This window comes from Homo sapiens, chromosome 17 (assembly GCF_000001405.40).
Source record: "Homo sapiens chromosome 17, GRCh38.p14 Primary Assembly".
Classification (NCBI taxonomy): domain Eukaryota; kingdom Metazoa; phylum Chordata; class Mammalia; order Primates; family Hominidae; genus Homo; species Homo sapiens.
In genome coordinates, this window is record NC_000017.11 from 36,935,981 (window position 1) to 36,949,633 (window position 13,653).

At 55.4% G+C, this 13,653-nt stretch overlaps 2 protein-coding genes and 1 long non-coding RNA gene across 10 annotated transcripts in view, besides 6 other annotated features; 2 read left to right on the forward strand and 1 right to left on the reverse strand.

Annotated features, from left to right (window-relative positions):
• Positions 1-543: part of an enhancer, noted in NCBI's record as "H3K4me1 hESC enhancer chr17:35292909-35293822 (GRCh37/hg19 assembly coordinates)", that runs on past the window's edge. NCBI's record gives its function as "activates a minimal SCP1, AML or CMV promoter by ChIP-STARR-seq in naive H9 embryonic stem cells {active_cell/tissue: H9 hESC(naive)}" and the evidence as "EXISTENCE:reporter gene assay evidence [ECO:0000049][PMID:30033119]".
• Positions 1-681, reverse strand: part of LHX1-DT (LHX1 divergent transcript) — a 74,988-nt gene extending 74,307 nt beyond the window's left edge. For all 4 annotated transcript variants that reach the window (NR_135671.1, NR_135670.1, NR_135669.1 and 1 more), the window contains exon 1: positions 584-681. This is a non-coding gene — a long non-coding RNA (LHX1 divergent transcript). The remainder of the gene's footprint in view (positions 1-583) is intronic.
• Positions 802-1,645: an enhancer, noted in NCBI's record as "H3K27ac-H3K4me1 hESC enhancer chr17:35294081-35294922 (GRCh37/hg19 assembly coordinates)". NCBI's record gives its function as "activates a minimal SCP1, AML or CMV promoter by ChIP-STARR-seq in primed H9 embryonic stem cells {active_cell/tissue: H9 hESC(primed)}" and the evidence as "EXISTENCE:reporter gene assay evidence [ECO:0000049][PMID:30033119]".
• On the forward strand, positions 805-8,632 carry LHX1 (LIM homeobox 1). 3 transcript variants are annotated; one of them, XM_047435966.1, is made up of 6 exons: positions 805-1,360; positions 1,759-2,387; positions 4,310-4,536; positions 4,630-4,907; positions 6,220-6,385; positions 6,772-8,632. In XM_047435966.1, exons 2-6 carry the CDS (start codon positions 2,218-2,220, stop codon positions 7,149-7,151), a joined length of 1,221 nt encoding a protein of 406 aa, XP_047291922.1. In that variant the 5' UTR covers positions 805-1,360; positions 1,759-2,217; the 3' UTR covers positions 7,152-8,632. The 3 variants fall into 3 exon arrangements, with proteins under 3 accessions (XP_047291922.1, XP_047291923.1, NP_005559.2); XM_047435967.1 differs by having other exon boundaries at positions 805-1,265; NM_005568.5 differs by lacking the exon at positions 805-1,360 and having other exon boundaries at positions 1,495-2,387.
• Positions 2,488-3,329: an enhancer, noted in NCBI's record as "H3K27ac-H3K4me1 hESC enhancer chr17:35295765-35296606 (GRCh37/hg19 assembly coordinates)". NCBI's record gives its function as "activates a minimal SCP1, AML or CMV promoter by ChIP-STARR-seq in primed H9 embryonic stem cells {active_cell/tissue: H9 hESC(primed)}" and the evidence as "EXISTENCE:reporter gene assay evidence [ECO:0000049][PMID:30033119]".
• Positions 4,812-5,335: an enhancer, noted in NCBI's record as "H3K27ac-H3K4me1 hESC enhancer chr17:35298089-35298612 (GRCh37/hg19 assembly coordinates)". NCBI's record gives its function as "activates a minimal SCP1, AML or CMV promoter by ChIP-STARR-seq in naive H9 embryonic stem cells {active_cell/tissue: H9 hESC(naive)}" and the evidence as "EXISTENCE:reporter gene assay evidence [ECO:0000049][PMID:30033119]".
• Positions 4,812-5,391: a biological region, named in NCBI's record as "H3K27ac-H3K4me1 hESC enhancer GRCh37_chr17:35298089-35298612".
• Positions 5,206-5,391: a silencer, noted in NCBI's record as "fragment chr17:35298483-35298668 (GRCh37/hg19 assembly coordinates)". NCBI's record gives its function as "represses an EF-1alpha promoter that drives an FKBP-Casp9 reporter gene in an ReSE screen in K562 erythroleukemia cells {active_cell/tissue: K562}" and the evidence as "EXISTENCE:reporter gene assay evidence [ECO:0000049][PMID:32094911]".
• A 4,341-nt stretch (positions 8,633-12,973) lies between the features above and the next one.
• Positions 12,974-13,653, forward strand: part of AATF (apoptosis antagonizing transcription factor) — a 107,918-nt gene continuing 107,238 nt past the window's right edge. For all 3 annotated transcript variants that reach the window (NM_012138.4, NM_001411094.1, XM_047435748.1), the window contains exon 1: positions 12,974-13,236. In NM_012138.4, coding sequence (NP_036270.1) covers positions 13,146-13,236 — 91 coding nt within the window. In that variant the 5' untranslated portion in view covers positions 12,974-13,145. The remainder of the gene's footprint in view (positions 13,237-13,653) is intronic.

Sequence of the window (13,653 nt, forward strand, 5' to 3'; positions counted from 1 at the left end):
GCCGCTGGAGCCCCCGGTTTCCCGCCTAGTCGTTTGTTTTTGTACGTAAAAGGTGTCTCCGGATCACAGTTTTCTCACAACTTTCTCGCCAGGGTTGCAACTCCTCACCCGAGGCGCTTCCCGGTCCACTCCTTCCCCCGCGCCGGCGCCGCGCCTCCGGTCTCCCCGCCCCCATCAGGAAACCGCCCGAATCAACTTTGCAAGAGTGCTCTGCGGGAGACAGACACTCAGCTCGCCCAGGACCCGGACCCTGTGGACTTTGGATGGATTGGGGGAGGGGGCACAGAAAGAGGGACGGGAGGAGGGAGATTCTGCTGCTAAGAGCCTCCTCCCCCTCCAAAGATGTGCGCTGCGCTTGGGACAAACTTCCAGCTCAAGAAAGTACGGGGGGACAATGGCAACAGCCGCTGAATTGCAAAGCCCAGCAGTGCAGGGGAGCCGCCTGGGATTCCGGACCCGGCTGCACCCCAACCTTCCACAAGGCTCGGTCTTGGACTACCCCCACTCTACAGCAGAACTCTGGCCTCCGCCTGCGCCTATTCCCGCTCTCTCTCTGTCCCTCCCATCGAAACCCACGCCTTACCGGAGCAGGAGGGGGCCCAGGCACGGTGCTGCCCGCCGTCCGCGCCGCGCGGGGCCGCGGGTGCCGCCGCCACTGATCCTCTAAACGCGGTCTCCCCGCACTCTCCCGGGCCGGGGGATGCAGAATGGTTTACAGAGGGACCGCGAGGCGCTGATTGGTCGCAGGCCGCAGTGACGTCAGCGGGCGCTGCATTAAGGCGAGGGGGCTTCCAGAGCTCAGCCAACAGCCAGGAGCAGTGACCAAGCCGCCGGAGCTGGGGAGAGACGCACCGGGGCGGCGACTGGGCCAGGAGACCAGGGACTGAGGGACGCGCCCGGGGAGGGCCAGCAACGAGCCGCGGCCCGGGCGGCGACAGCGGCGGTCCGCGCCGAGCCGTTCCAGCCGCCGGCCTACTGTAGCCGCTGCGCCAGGACATTTTTTTTTAAAGCTCTCCAAGCTGCCCCCCTCCTCCCCGACTCCTCCCGCTGCAAAAGAAAAACAAAAAAAAAAAAAGGAAGGAGGCTAGAAAGGAAACCCAGATTTGCCACCACAACGAAAAAAAGAAGGGGAAAAGGAAAAGGAGAGAAAGTCGAGCGACTGTGGGGTTAGACGGAGGCAGACAGAGCGTGGGCCGAGCGATGCGGGGCTGTGCGCCCAGGCGGCCGCGAGTTGTGACTGGAGCCACGATGCACGGCCAGGCGCGGTGAGAAGCCAGCCCGTAGTGCCTCCCGAAGGAGCCCGGGCGCAGGGAGGGTCGCCCTGAGGACACGGAGGCCGCCAGGCAGGCCAAGGGCCGAGGTGACTGGGCTGGGGCGGTAGGGAAGGAGCGAGTGCGCCTGGCTGCCTCCGCACGGAGTTGTCCCTCTCTGTTTTCGATTGACACAAACACTTCTCCAAAAGCGGGGAAACCTAAGCAACAACAGCAATCAACACCAAGATCTTCCTCCTACCCTCCCCTCTTTCCCTTCTCCCGCGGTCGGCCCTCGCCCCCTCCCCCAGGCCCAGCGCGGGCGCTCGGCGCGTCCAGACCCGCGGCGCGATGCCGGCAGTTTAGGATCCAAAGCTTCTCTGCTCCTTTTGTTCTTTCCTTCCCTTTTTTAAAAAAAGAGGGGGGAAATCCCAGTGGTGGGCAGCCTGGCACGCACACAGTCGCCCTCATACCCCGACAAAAGCAGATGCACTTTGACTTCTGACAGCTCTACCTCAAGCCCCGGAGAACTCAGCGGCGCTTTCCTCGCAACCCGAGCTCGGCGAGTCGTCGTCTTCTTCTTCTCCGTTTTTATTTATTTATTTCCGTTCCCGCCGCCGTTCTCGCTGACCTTCACTCCTCCGCGGGCTCTGAGCAGAAGGGTCGCATTCTCTCCCGCCTGAGACTTCTTTTCCTCGCCCCGGGAGCTCAGGCGGCGCCGCTCCAGCCCGGGGCCCCGGGACTCCCCGGCTGCACACTTCACTGAGACGCCCCCCCAGGCCCCGATCAGCCTCGTTTCCTCCACCCTACTTTGATTTCCTGGTGCGAGTTTTGGCTTGCACGGCCGAGTGTGTGTCCTCTTTTTGGAGAGACTGGGGAGCTCGTGCCGATTGTCTTCAGGAGTCATCCCCTGGGCTCTACTTTGCCCCTCTCTCTCTCTGGGCCTCATCAGACCAAACCAAAGACCATGGTTCACTGTGCCGGCTGCAAAAGGCCCATCCTGGACCGCTTTCTCTTGAACGTGCTGGACAGGGCCTGGCACGTCAAGTGCGTCCAGTGCTGTGAATGTAAATGCAACCTGACCGAGAAGTGCTTCTCCAGGGAAGGCAAACTCTACTGCAAGAACGACTTCTTCCGGTGAGTACTTTCCTCCCACGCCTCTGCTGCTACCTCCCCGCGGGCCCTTCCCGGCCAGCTTCGGATCAGAGGTTAGCGTGGCCTCGCTGCCCAGTTAGGAACTGCTTCTAGAGAGGGCAGCCAAGTCCCGCGGGCGCCCGCCTCTCCGCCAGCTGGCGCGCTGGGAGCCCGGGACGCGGCCCTGCTTGCATCCTGGAAACTATGGGTCTGGGTTTGGCTGCATGTGCCTGGGAAGAAAGGGTCTGAGCCTGACTCGGCCCAGAAGCCCCTTCAAGCTTGGAAGAGACAGGGCAGCCTCGGGCGTTGTAGCCCGGACTGCTGTCTTTCCCGGAGCCAAGCTCTGCAGCAACTGCATTCTCCAGGCCTTCGGGGTTGTTTGCCCTCCAGGCAGAGCCCAGGCTCCCTCCCGGCCACTACCTTTTCCGACCCCGAGCGGTCTTGGCGGTAAGCTCCGAGCCTTTTGCGTAGAGTGTCTGGGCCAACTGCCCTGTCAGCGGCAGGAAAGAACTCGGCCTTAAAGCCGATCCTGCACGCCCGGGGGTCTTCCCCAAACCCGGACATGCCTCCGAGTGCAGACCTGGACAAACTGCTGCACTGTAGCCTGCGAAGTGCCCGGAGCTTTTTCCTGCTTCCCTGGCTGCCGAAGTTGTCTGGTGGTTCGGCTTCAGCCCCAGGTGACTCCGACTCCCACGGGCTCCGCTCAGTAGTCCTCCTAGGAAACTGCCAGCCACAGCCAGCAACCTCCTTGATGAAACCTGGGGGAAAGCCGAGACCTCCAGCTTGCTGGTGGGGAGACTTCTCCCTACCCCCCTTATTCGTTTAGCATTTTAATTATATTATCGTACACTCACAATTTTGCCGCTCCATTCACACAAACACACAAGTCAACAGAGAAGAACGGGCACAAATGCGAATTGTAATTCCACCCTACGGATGTGAAATATCGCAATTTACTCGGCTGACTTGGTCTCTGCTTTTCTGAGTTTGTGGTCATAGTTCAAACCAGGGAGCAGGAGGAAGAGGGATTCAAAGCCACTCAGAGGGCCAAGACGCGCTGTCCCCAGTGCCGCTCCAGGACTCGTGGCTGGGGTTGGGTTGCGTGGAACCATGAAGCAAAGCTCCGTGCTCGCTGGTATTTCGGGAGAACGCGCAGGCTGAGCCTCTGAGCCTCCGCGGGCTGCCCGGTTTTCCTCAAGGACTGGATCATAGCGGGAGGGTGGCAAACCGTACTCGTACCCGCTGCCAGTGGGTCCCTGAGCCTGGCTTCCACAACCCGCGGCAGAGCGCCCAGAGCCAGCTCCCGCAGCTCCCGCTTTTGCCAACCTGTCCCGCTTTAGGCAAGAGCGTGGCGGCGGCCCCGCTAAGGCTACGGAGGGGGGCTCTCCGCGGCTATGTTTGTTTACCAACAGCGGGGCTAGACATCGCCAACCCCATGCCTATGTGCGGGTCCTTTTGCGATGAAGGAGAGAAAAGCGGCGCTCCGCGCACGTTTATATAGAGTTCTAATTGTAATTCGACTTTTCTGAATCTAATCGGAAAATAAGTGCCCCGTTCCCCCCGCCCACACAGGTCACTGCCTTGCCACCTTCTTTAGACGATGCATCTTTCCTCTGGGATAACGCTGGGAGTGAGGCTGGGGCTTGGCGGGTAGCTTGGGCCCCTGGCTCTAACCGCGTGTATCCCCTCCCTAACTCTTCCCTGGTGCCGCGCTCTCTCTCCTGCTGCCTCCTCACCTGCTTAACCGGAATTCTGCCTCTCTTTATCTCTCTCTTCCCTTCTTTCTGTGCTCCATTCCTCCTCTCCTACTTCCTCCACTTTTTACATCTTCCCTCTTTCTCGCTGTCATCTTTCTCTCCGCCTGTCTCCCCTTGCCCCTGGCTGACCCATCCCCGCCCCCGCCCCCCACCCCCACCCCCCCGCAGGTGTTTCGGTACCAAATGCGCAGGCTGCGCTCAGGGCATCTCCCCTAGCGACCTGGTGCGGAGAGCGCGGAGCAAAGTGTTTCACCTGAACTGCTTCACCTGCATGATGTGTAACAAGCAGCTCTCCACTGGCGAGGAACTCTACATCATCGACGAGAATAAGTTCGTCTGCAAAGAGGATTACCTAAGTAACAGCAGTGTTGCCAAAGAGAACAGCCTTCACTCGGGTGAGGCCCCAATTCCTGGCTGGCTAGGTGCAAGCGGGTCCTGGGGGAGGAAGGCTCGCCAAGGCCCCGGCTCATCTGTCCTTTCCCTCTTAGCCACCACGGGCAGTGACCCCAGTTTGTCTCCGGATTCCCAAGACCCGTCGCAGGACGACGCCAAGGACTCGGAGAGCGCCAACGTGTCGGACAAGGAAGCGGGTAGCAACGAGAATGACGACCAGAACCTGGGCGCCAAGCGGCGGGGACCGCGCACCACCATCAAAGCCAAGCAGCTGGAGACGCTGAAGGCCGCCTTCGCTGCTACACCCAAGCCCACCCGCCACATCCGCGAGCAGCTGGCGCAGGAGACCGGCCTCAACATGCGCGTCATTCAGGTCAGGCCCCGGCGCGCCTCTCCATCCCACAGAGGCCCACACTGCCACTTTGGGCACCCAGGCCGAGCCAGGAGAGCCCAGAATCCAGAGAGAAGTGAGAGATGGAGTCCAGAGGTGGGGTGCCTAGACACATCCCGAGCCTGCGGGACCTATGAAATGCCTGATGCCTTCGAGCATCTAGAAAGTCCTCTTCCCAGCCCAACAGAGGTGATCGTGGCAGTGGAGGGGGAGGGACGGGAGTTCAGCCAGAGGCTGGAGGAGGAGAACTGTTGAACACTCTGGAGAGAGTGGGGAGCCCTCTTTCTGCACATACCCCACCCCACCTCGGGTTCGGAAGGGTCAGAGAAGTCTCAGTGTCCCCCAGAGTCAATCAGTCCCTCTGCCTTCTGCACAAAGTGAACTCTTCCTAAGTCTGCAACTCCAACTTTGTGATCGCTTGCTCCAATTAGACAAGCCCCAGATCAGGGACTTCCCCTCCAAAGAGAGGTGGTTCCGCCGGGAGTCAGCTCTGCTTCCAGCGGGTTGGAGTGAAATTTGGGTATGGGAGCCTACCTGGAGGCAGCTGGGCCTGTGGGCGGAAAGGAGGTGAGACTGCTGAAGCTCCAGGCCAGGGGGAGTCTCTGGCTCAGTGCTAGGTGTCCGGTTCACCGGGCCTGATGCCCTGCGTGGCTGTGGGTGGATGTACCTGCCTGGGAGGCTGGCTGTGCATGTGCACATGTGTGCAACACGGAAGGCCCTGAGGCCTACAGGAGACTGTGAGAACCTGTGTACATGAATGAGAAGTCGTGTGTCTGTGTCACTATTGGCAAGAGGCTGTGGATAAGTATGTTTGGCACTGTGAGATTGTACATGGGTGTGAAAAGGAGATTGTAGGTTTTGGTATCATAGGCTGTTTCTGTGTCTCTGTCATGGTTGGGGGGAGGGTTGCTGCAAGAGACCGTGAAATGGAAACGCGGTGTGTGTCTGACATTATTTTGGAGAGGCGTAGTCTCTATGTGTGTACAGCCCCAGAGAAGCGGTAACTGTGATAGTGTGACTGTTAGAAAAACTCCAGCTATACCACAACTCTCCCCCTCCAGACACGGCGGCCTGTCCAGGTCCTCCTGTGGGATTCCTGCTCACCATTGGCTCAGGGTCCGCCCTGAGTGGTCCTAGTCAGAGATCGCACCGTCACCACTACCCTACACACACACACAAGCGCGCGCGCGCGGTGTCGGCTAGCCAGGCGGTGAAGGGGTGCTGGCTAGGCCCGGAGCACCCCGGGGTCGGGGGTGGAGTCTCGGTGGCCTCACCCCGCCGCCATGTGCTGCAGGTCTGGTTCCAGAACCGGCGCTCCAAGGAGCGGAGGATGAAGCAGCTGAGCGCCCTGGGCGCCCGGCGCCACGCCTTCTTCCGCAGTCCGCGCCGGATGCGGCCGCTGGTGGACCGCCTGGAGCCGGGCGAGCTCATCCCCAATGGTCCCTTCTCCTTCTACGGAGGTGGGTGCGCGCCGAATGGCGGGGCGCGGCCAGGTCGGGGCGGGCTTCGTTGGAAGCGGGTGGCAGCGCGGGGGGGCACGCCTCGCTCTCTGTAAGCCACTGGAGAGTTGGGGCGAGTAGGGAGAAGGCTGGGAGTAAATCAAGGGGAGGCGGCGAGACCGAGGACCCAATTCACGGCCCTGAATAACGGGGGTAGCTGGTAAGGGGCAGCTCCCGGGCTTGCGCCCAGCCTCCTCCCTGCACCCAGGCCCGCGAGGGCTCCCCGCGATCCGCGAGTTCCCCGCGCGGCCTTCCTCAGCCCGCCGAGGTCGCGTCTTCCCTCCCTTTCGGTCCCGCCGGCCCCCGGCCGGGCCCTGACGTCCTGCGCCCTCCCCGCCGCTCCGCAGATTACCAGAGCGAGTACTACGGGCCCGGGGGCAACTACGACTTCTTCCCGCAAGGCCCCCCGTCCTCGCAGGCCCAGACACCAGTGGACCTACCCTTCGTGCCGTCATCTGGGCCGTCCGGGACGCCCCTGGGTGGCCTGGAGCACCCGCTGCCGGGCCACCACCCGTCGAGCGAGGCGCAGCGGTTTACCGACATCCTGGCGCACCCACCCGGGGACTCGCCCAGCCCCGAGCCCAGCCTGCCCGGGCCTCTGCACTCCATGTCGGCCGAGGTCTTCGGACCCAGCCCGCCCTTCTCGTCGCTGTCGGTCAACGGTGGGGCGAGCTACGGAAACCACCTGTCCCACCCCCCCGAAATGAACGAGGCGGCCGTGTGGTAGCGGGGTCTCGCACGGTCTGCGGAGTTCGTGGTTGTACAGAAATGAACCTTTATTTAAGAAAAATAGAAAAAAAAAAACATAAAAAGCAAGTCCCCACCCCCTTCCTCCAGCCTCGAGAACCATTCTCCTTCTGGGGAGACCGGATGGAAAAGGGGGACACGAAATAGGATCCAAATCGGCCTCGAGGTGGGACTGGGATCCGCGCACTGGCTGTCGACGTGCAGAACTGGGGCTCCCCAAAGGAAACGCAGACCTCTCCCCAACTCCCACCTGGACCCGGATCCGTAGACAGACCCCGCGGGCGTGTGCGCCTGGCAGGCGGGCGGCGAAAAGACGTCCAGGGCAGCCGCGGGTGCGCACAGCCGTTGGCGATGCCAGGAGCCGTGGGGAGGGAGGCCGTGAGCACAGCCGGGTGAAGGAAGTGAAGCGGCCCAGGGCGCTCCCGGGCCAGCCAGGAGGGTTCTAGCTCTGGGATATCCCTTATTAGTGTTGTCTCAGAGTTCAACAACAGCGACAAAAAACTCTTATAGCTTCAGAAACGCCGACCTGCCGTGCATCAGGTGGGACTATATATATATTTTTTGTCTATCTGGATTTTTGGTTTTTGTTTTTGCCAAAATTGCAAAATTCTAAATGTAAAGCCCTCCGTATCAACTCTTCTACCTTCGCAAAACTACACATACACACATACACACGTACACGGACACACTCGGTAAGATGGTCTCCAGCCAGACCGCTCAGTAAAATGACTTGAACATCAGCTGTACAAGAAAAGTATTCTACCTTCACACACAAAAAGTTAAAAAAAAAAAAAAAGACTATTGAACTAAAAACAGTCAACTGTTTACGTATAATGTTAAATTCAGGAGTTCAGTGTTTTACTAATATATCCTGTTTTGAAACCTCTTGTTCGAAAACAAAATGTTTTGAGCAATCAACCAAAATTGTTCCTTTTCTTTTCCTGTAGATGTTCTGACAGATTTGCAGGGCTTTCGGCTCACTGTGCTAGTATGTAAAAAGGTGTTGTTTACACGAGGCAAAGAGAAAACATGCTATTCAGACAGTTGCCAAATAGAATAATTATAGCACAAATACTGTAAAGGTGCCTGGCACCAGCAACCTGAGAAAGTGTTAAAAAAAAAAAAAAAAAAGTGTTACAAGATTTAAAAAAAAACATCTTTGCTAATTTTTTTGTCCTGTTGAACATTCATGGAATTGTTAATATGACTTATATAGACCCACACAGGTTTTATTTTTGTGTCTTTAAAATAAAAGTCCAAAATATTTAAATTTTATGGTCAAATATGCAGTCAACAGCTGCTACTTTTTCTTTATATATTAAATTTCTCATATGTCTTTTATTGTTCTAATAAACCTAAGCTTGTGTGACCTCCAGTGCATATTAGACCATTCACTGTATGAAAGAAAACATGTTGAATAAATTTGTGAGTTTTTAATAAAAATAGAAAATCTGATGTTTAGATAATTGGTGTGTTATTTGATGTTTTCAAAGGGGAACCCTGATGGGGAGCTGAATGGGTCCTCAGAAGCCAGGTGGAAAAGAGAGGCAGGATTGGGATGATATATCTGTTTTTGCCTTGGCTATGGCTGAAACCTTTTGCTAATGCCAGCCAAGCTTTTCTCTGTGGCTTCCTGCTGTTATTAGCTACAGATTTACATCCTGTGGATTTAACTGATACCGTTGAAGAGATGTTTGCTGATAAGTTAATATAGAATTTGAAATAGAAATCAAATCCATGGCTAAAAAATGAGTGGTCCAGGTCTGTGATTAGGCATAAGATCCAAGGCATTCCCTCTTTCACTCTCCCTGCACATGCAAAACTGGGCTTGTATCAGATACTTGTAATACATAGTTAGAGGTGGTCCTTTTCAGTTTCATTTCATTTCCTATAGATAATCCGGCTTTCTAATTTGGTAGTTTGAAAGATAATGTAAAGGCTTTCTAATTTGGTGGTTTGAAAGATAATGTAAAATGAATGTATAGTACAGCTAGAAATGAAATACTTTAATCCCTTTCACAGAACTGATATGAAATTGTTGTTTTATAGTATTTGTTACCTTTGAAGTTCCCCAGAAGGAAAACTATTTTGCCTGGCACAAGATACATATTAAGTTTCTCTGAAAGATGAACAAAAATAACTAATATCAAAATCAAATTTCAACTCAAAAGGTTCTAAAAGTAGCTCGATTCTTTCCAGTCCTTCATTAGACTTGGAAGAAATTTGAATATTTTATCTACTATGAAATATTCTTGTGGATGTGTGTGTGTTTCAGTATCAGATGCTATTAGAGTTCCAGGATTTCTTTTCCATATCACCTAGATTTCACTCTGGATTATTTATTTCCTTATTTAAAAAGTCAAAGGTTTGACATTAAATGGTATATAATTTCCAGTGCTGTTTTCAAATTTTGTTAAGACACAGCCAAGTTTATCTTTCCTGCAGAGAAGGCTTTAAAATAAGCAATATTTCACTGCATCCATATGATGGCTTATCTAATGGGGGAGGAGGCTATCCGGGAGGAATCTGGCAGTGTTCTTTCAGAAATAAAAATGTATGAAATACAGAGGAGACTTTTGAAACTCCCAGCCTCTGCATGCAGCACATTTCTTTATTTGCTTTATATGCAATCACTGGATCGGCTTGTTTTTACCTTTTTAGCATTTATACACATTAAATCCTAGCTAACTTATTCATTATAGCCTCTACTCCCTAGCCCCCTTTAAAGACATTCATTTAAATGAACTGCGCTCACTGGGAAGCTGCATTTTCCTATCAAGGCTGCTGAATTATTTAGCAGCTTTATTGTGCAATCGGGGTATTTGATAAGAAGCGTTTTCGAGTTGGGCACACGATGTGGATTCGATTCTTCTAACAACGTGGTTGTGGCGCAGTCTCTCCCCTCGTCGCGGGATTCAGAATCCTGGCGAAAACCCGAACAGGTGGCAACGCTCAGCAGTCAAATTTGGAGCCGAAGGCCCCAAGGAGGAGGCCTGGAAATGTCAGGGCCTGTTCTCCTTCCCATCAGTGCTGTGCCGCCCACCTCTGGCCCCGAGGTGCGGGGACGTGCGGCACCATACCTAGGCGGAGCTCCCGCAGGAGGCGCAGCAGGAGGGAAGCGCCACTGCAGTCCCCTCTCGCCTGGGAGGGCAGCCTGGTTTCTCCCTGTGGCCATCTTAAAGCCACCACCTCTGTGCCTCTCGCCACCTGCCTTCAGGGTTCCAGCAGCAGGGAGCCACCATCTGCTCTGGCGAGGGAGCTGAAGCTCACCCACCCAACTTCTCCGGGCTGGCTGCCGCTGGTAAGCTGCTCTAGGTGAGGCACTTGGGGAAGTATTACCTGTGGAGAGCCAGGATAGGCATTGCCAGGGCTGGCACCTGAGGGTGGACAGCATCTGAAGAGAGGCAAGTGGGAACTTGGTTTTCCCAAACTCTTGAAACTCCTTGTCAAGTGAGCAGACAGTTGTTTGGGACAATTGGAAAGTGTCACCCCTTGCCCATCCTCTGCTGTGCCTAATCGCCTGCCACTTTGCAGCCCTTGGAGGGCAGGGAGAGGGATTGTGGACTGGGCGCCCCTCCGCCTTCTCTGGAGAAGGCCATTCTGTTAGGGAACTGCTCACCCTTATTCTCCTCTCCCTGTTCCTCTCATCTGCTCTCATCTCTACATCAGTCAGAGGTTGAAACTCCTCGCCACAGTCCACTCTCCATCTCCATCCCTACCCCATCAATAAGCCCTTCCCCCACCATCTCAAGACACTGGAATGCAGGTAGGGAGAGGCCCCCAGAGGGAGTATTTGAGAATTTGCTCCCCTGTCCCTTGCCTCAACTACTCTCAGTTGCATCTTAATTCCTAGAATTACTTCCTCTTCCCTCCACTCCTGGAGTCCTCTTTCTACCTTCAGTATAAGGTCAGGCAAACATTTTGGGGGGCCCTGGGATGTGTGTGACAGTAGAACGGTCTTGATTCCTTGCTAAAATGGCTTCCCAAGTCAGTAGGGACCAGGACAGAGAAGGGAGAGTAAGTAAACAGGTCTATGGCATTTTCTGCTGAGTGTTTGCCCAGCACAGCCCCCAAATTGACCAGCAGTGTCCTGTTTGCATGACAGCTTAGAGGTGGTCTCTGCAGTGACTCACCTCCCTTTCTCTTTTCTTCCTTCTCTTTACCTCAAAGGCCAGGTTTCTAAGCATTGTAAGTACCCAACATAGCAAGGGGATAGGATTGCAGGAGGTAGTTTCTTAAATGTGGGGTGGGAGAAACATTTTTGTCCTTTGAAGCCCCATGGCACCTTGTCAAGGAGCAAGGAACACACTTTTGCTTGGGAGGCCCGGACACAGGCACAAGACTGCAATTATAGAGGATAAACGAAAAACTGTTCTCTTAGGCTAAGCTCTCTTATGGATGGTAAAAAGCCGTTTTCTTCTCCTGAGTGCCCTGCCTAGCCTGGCATTCTTTTCCTTCCATGTCTGAGGGGGTTTACCCTCAGACAGGTTCTCCTTCCCCTCTGCAGCCCTGGTTGTCTTCATTCTTCAAGGGCCACTTTACAGGGACATGGAACAGGCTCCACTAAAGTGGTGTCCTCTTATTGCTCTTGGCCCTGAGGACATATGAAGATTGTGAAAGTCAGAGATCCTCTCTTCCCTTGGTTTTCATGGGAGACAGTAGAGAGCTGAGGGTTCCCCAGTTGTTCAGCTGTGGGATCCAACTGGCCCGGGCTGTACCCAAGGGGCACTGCCACAGTGCACCACTAACATCTCTTTTCTGGATCCTTTTGAGGCAGATTCTGTTTAGAGGGGTCTAGGTCTCTACAGGCAACCTCCAACAGATACCATAAGAATAGACCACTTTGTAGTCACACTTATCATCCCTTATTGCAGTTTCTGTTTACATGTTTGTCTACCCTCCTAGGCTGATTACCGTGGGGGGGAGAATCCAACTTACTTATCTTGTATCTTATCTAGCAGTGCCTGCCACATAGTGGGCAGTCAGGGAATGCTTGATGAAGGAAAGAGGATGTAAAGCGATTGTGTCTTTCCGTGTGCGGGGTGCAATTACATTTATACTATTAAGTCTTTATATTTTGAGTCTGTCCCTCTAACGGTAGACCTGTATTTTTCTGCATTTGTGCACCTGCTTAAGCTGCCTGAGCATGCCCTCATCTCTGAACAGCAAAGATAATCAATACCGAGGGGTATGCAGTGGAGTAATCCACACCCCACCCCCTTTCCCTTGCTCAGGCAAGGGTACTTAGAGACGCTACTGAAACTATCTTTAGCCACAGCGATTCCTAAGTATTCCCATTAAGAAAGACGCCAGCAGTCCGCCACACACTTACACGTGCATATCCCTGACATAGGATTCCCAAATCCTGGCCGCTGAAGGGCGGGAGGCGTGTGCCCGGCCTCAGACTACTATAAATTGCGAAATGACAAACCTGCTTTGGGTCCCAGTCTCTGCGTGCCCGAGTGCGCACCCGCGATTCGAGCAGCTTAAGCCCTACTCCCTCCTCCTTCCCAAATCAGCCACCGTGGGCCACGGCTACGCTATGCTTTATTCCTAAGCGAATCTCGCACAAATCTCGAGGCATATTTTGTACAAGGGGACACTGGCCGCGCGCATCGCAATCGCATCTCAGCGACAGAAGCGGTCACGTGCCTTGGCGCGCTTCCGCACCGCCCCTTCCCGCGCACTCGCACGCGCACGCGCACACGCGCCCATACGGCTCCAATCCCTTCAACCTTCTGCGCGCTTCCGCCTTCATGCTAGCAACGCCCGCAGTGACGCGCAGGCCCCGCCCCCTCCCGCGCGCCTCCCGGAAGTGGCCGGTCCAGAGCTGTGGGGTGGCCTCCGCGCGGTCTCTGGCGGAGTCGGGGAATCGGATCAAGGCGAGAGGATCCGGCAGGGAAGGAGCTTCGGGGCCGGGGGTTGGGCCGCACATTTACGTGCGCGAAGCGGAGTGGACCGGGAGCTGGTGACGATGGCGGGGCCGCAGCCCCTGGCGCTGCAACTGGAACAGTTGTTGAACCCGCGACCAAGCGAGGCGGACCCTGAAGCGGACCCCGAGGAAGGTGAGGCCGGACTGGGGCAGGCCACGTGCGGAGCGGTGGGCCAGGCCCTGTGGGGCAAGGGGGCGGCGTGGGAGGGGCGTGCGCGAGGCCGCCGGGCCTGCGCTCCTTCGCTTGGCGCAGAGGAACGTCGCCTCCCGCGAGGGTGGTCCCGGCCTCGGGAGGAGGGCTTCGGCTTCTTTTCACACGCACTCGAAACTTGGTGCTCGGCTGGATGGGCGGAACAGATCGAGGGCTCAGGCCGAGAGGAGCTGGTCTTCAGGTTTACTTGCTCCAGGCCTGTTGGAGGGAGCCAGAGAGTCTGCTAGCAAGTTGGAAGTTAGCTTTGAGGATGCCCTTTCTGGTATTGCGTTAGAAAGGAGGAGAAGAAAGTCGCATGTTTTTAATTCAGGTTGCCCTTCAAAACTAAGTTGGAGACTG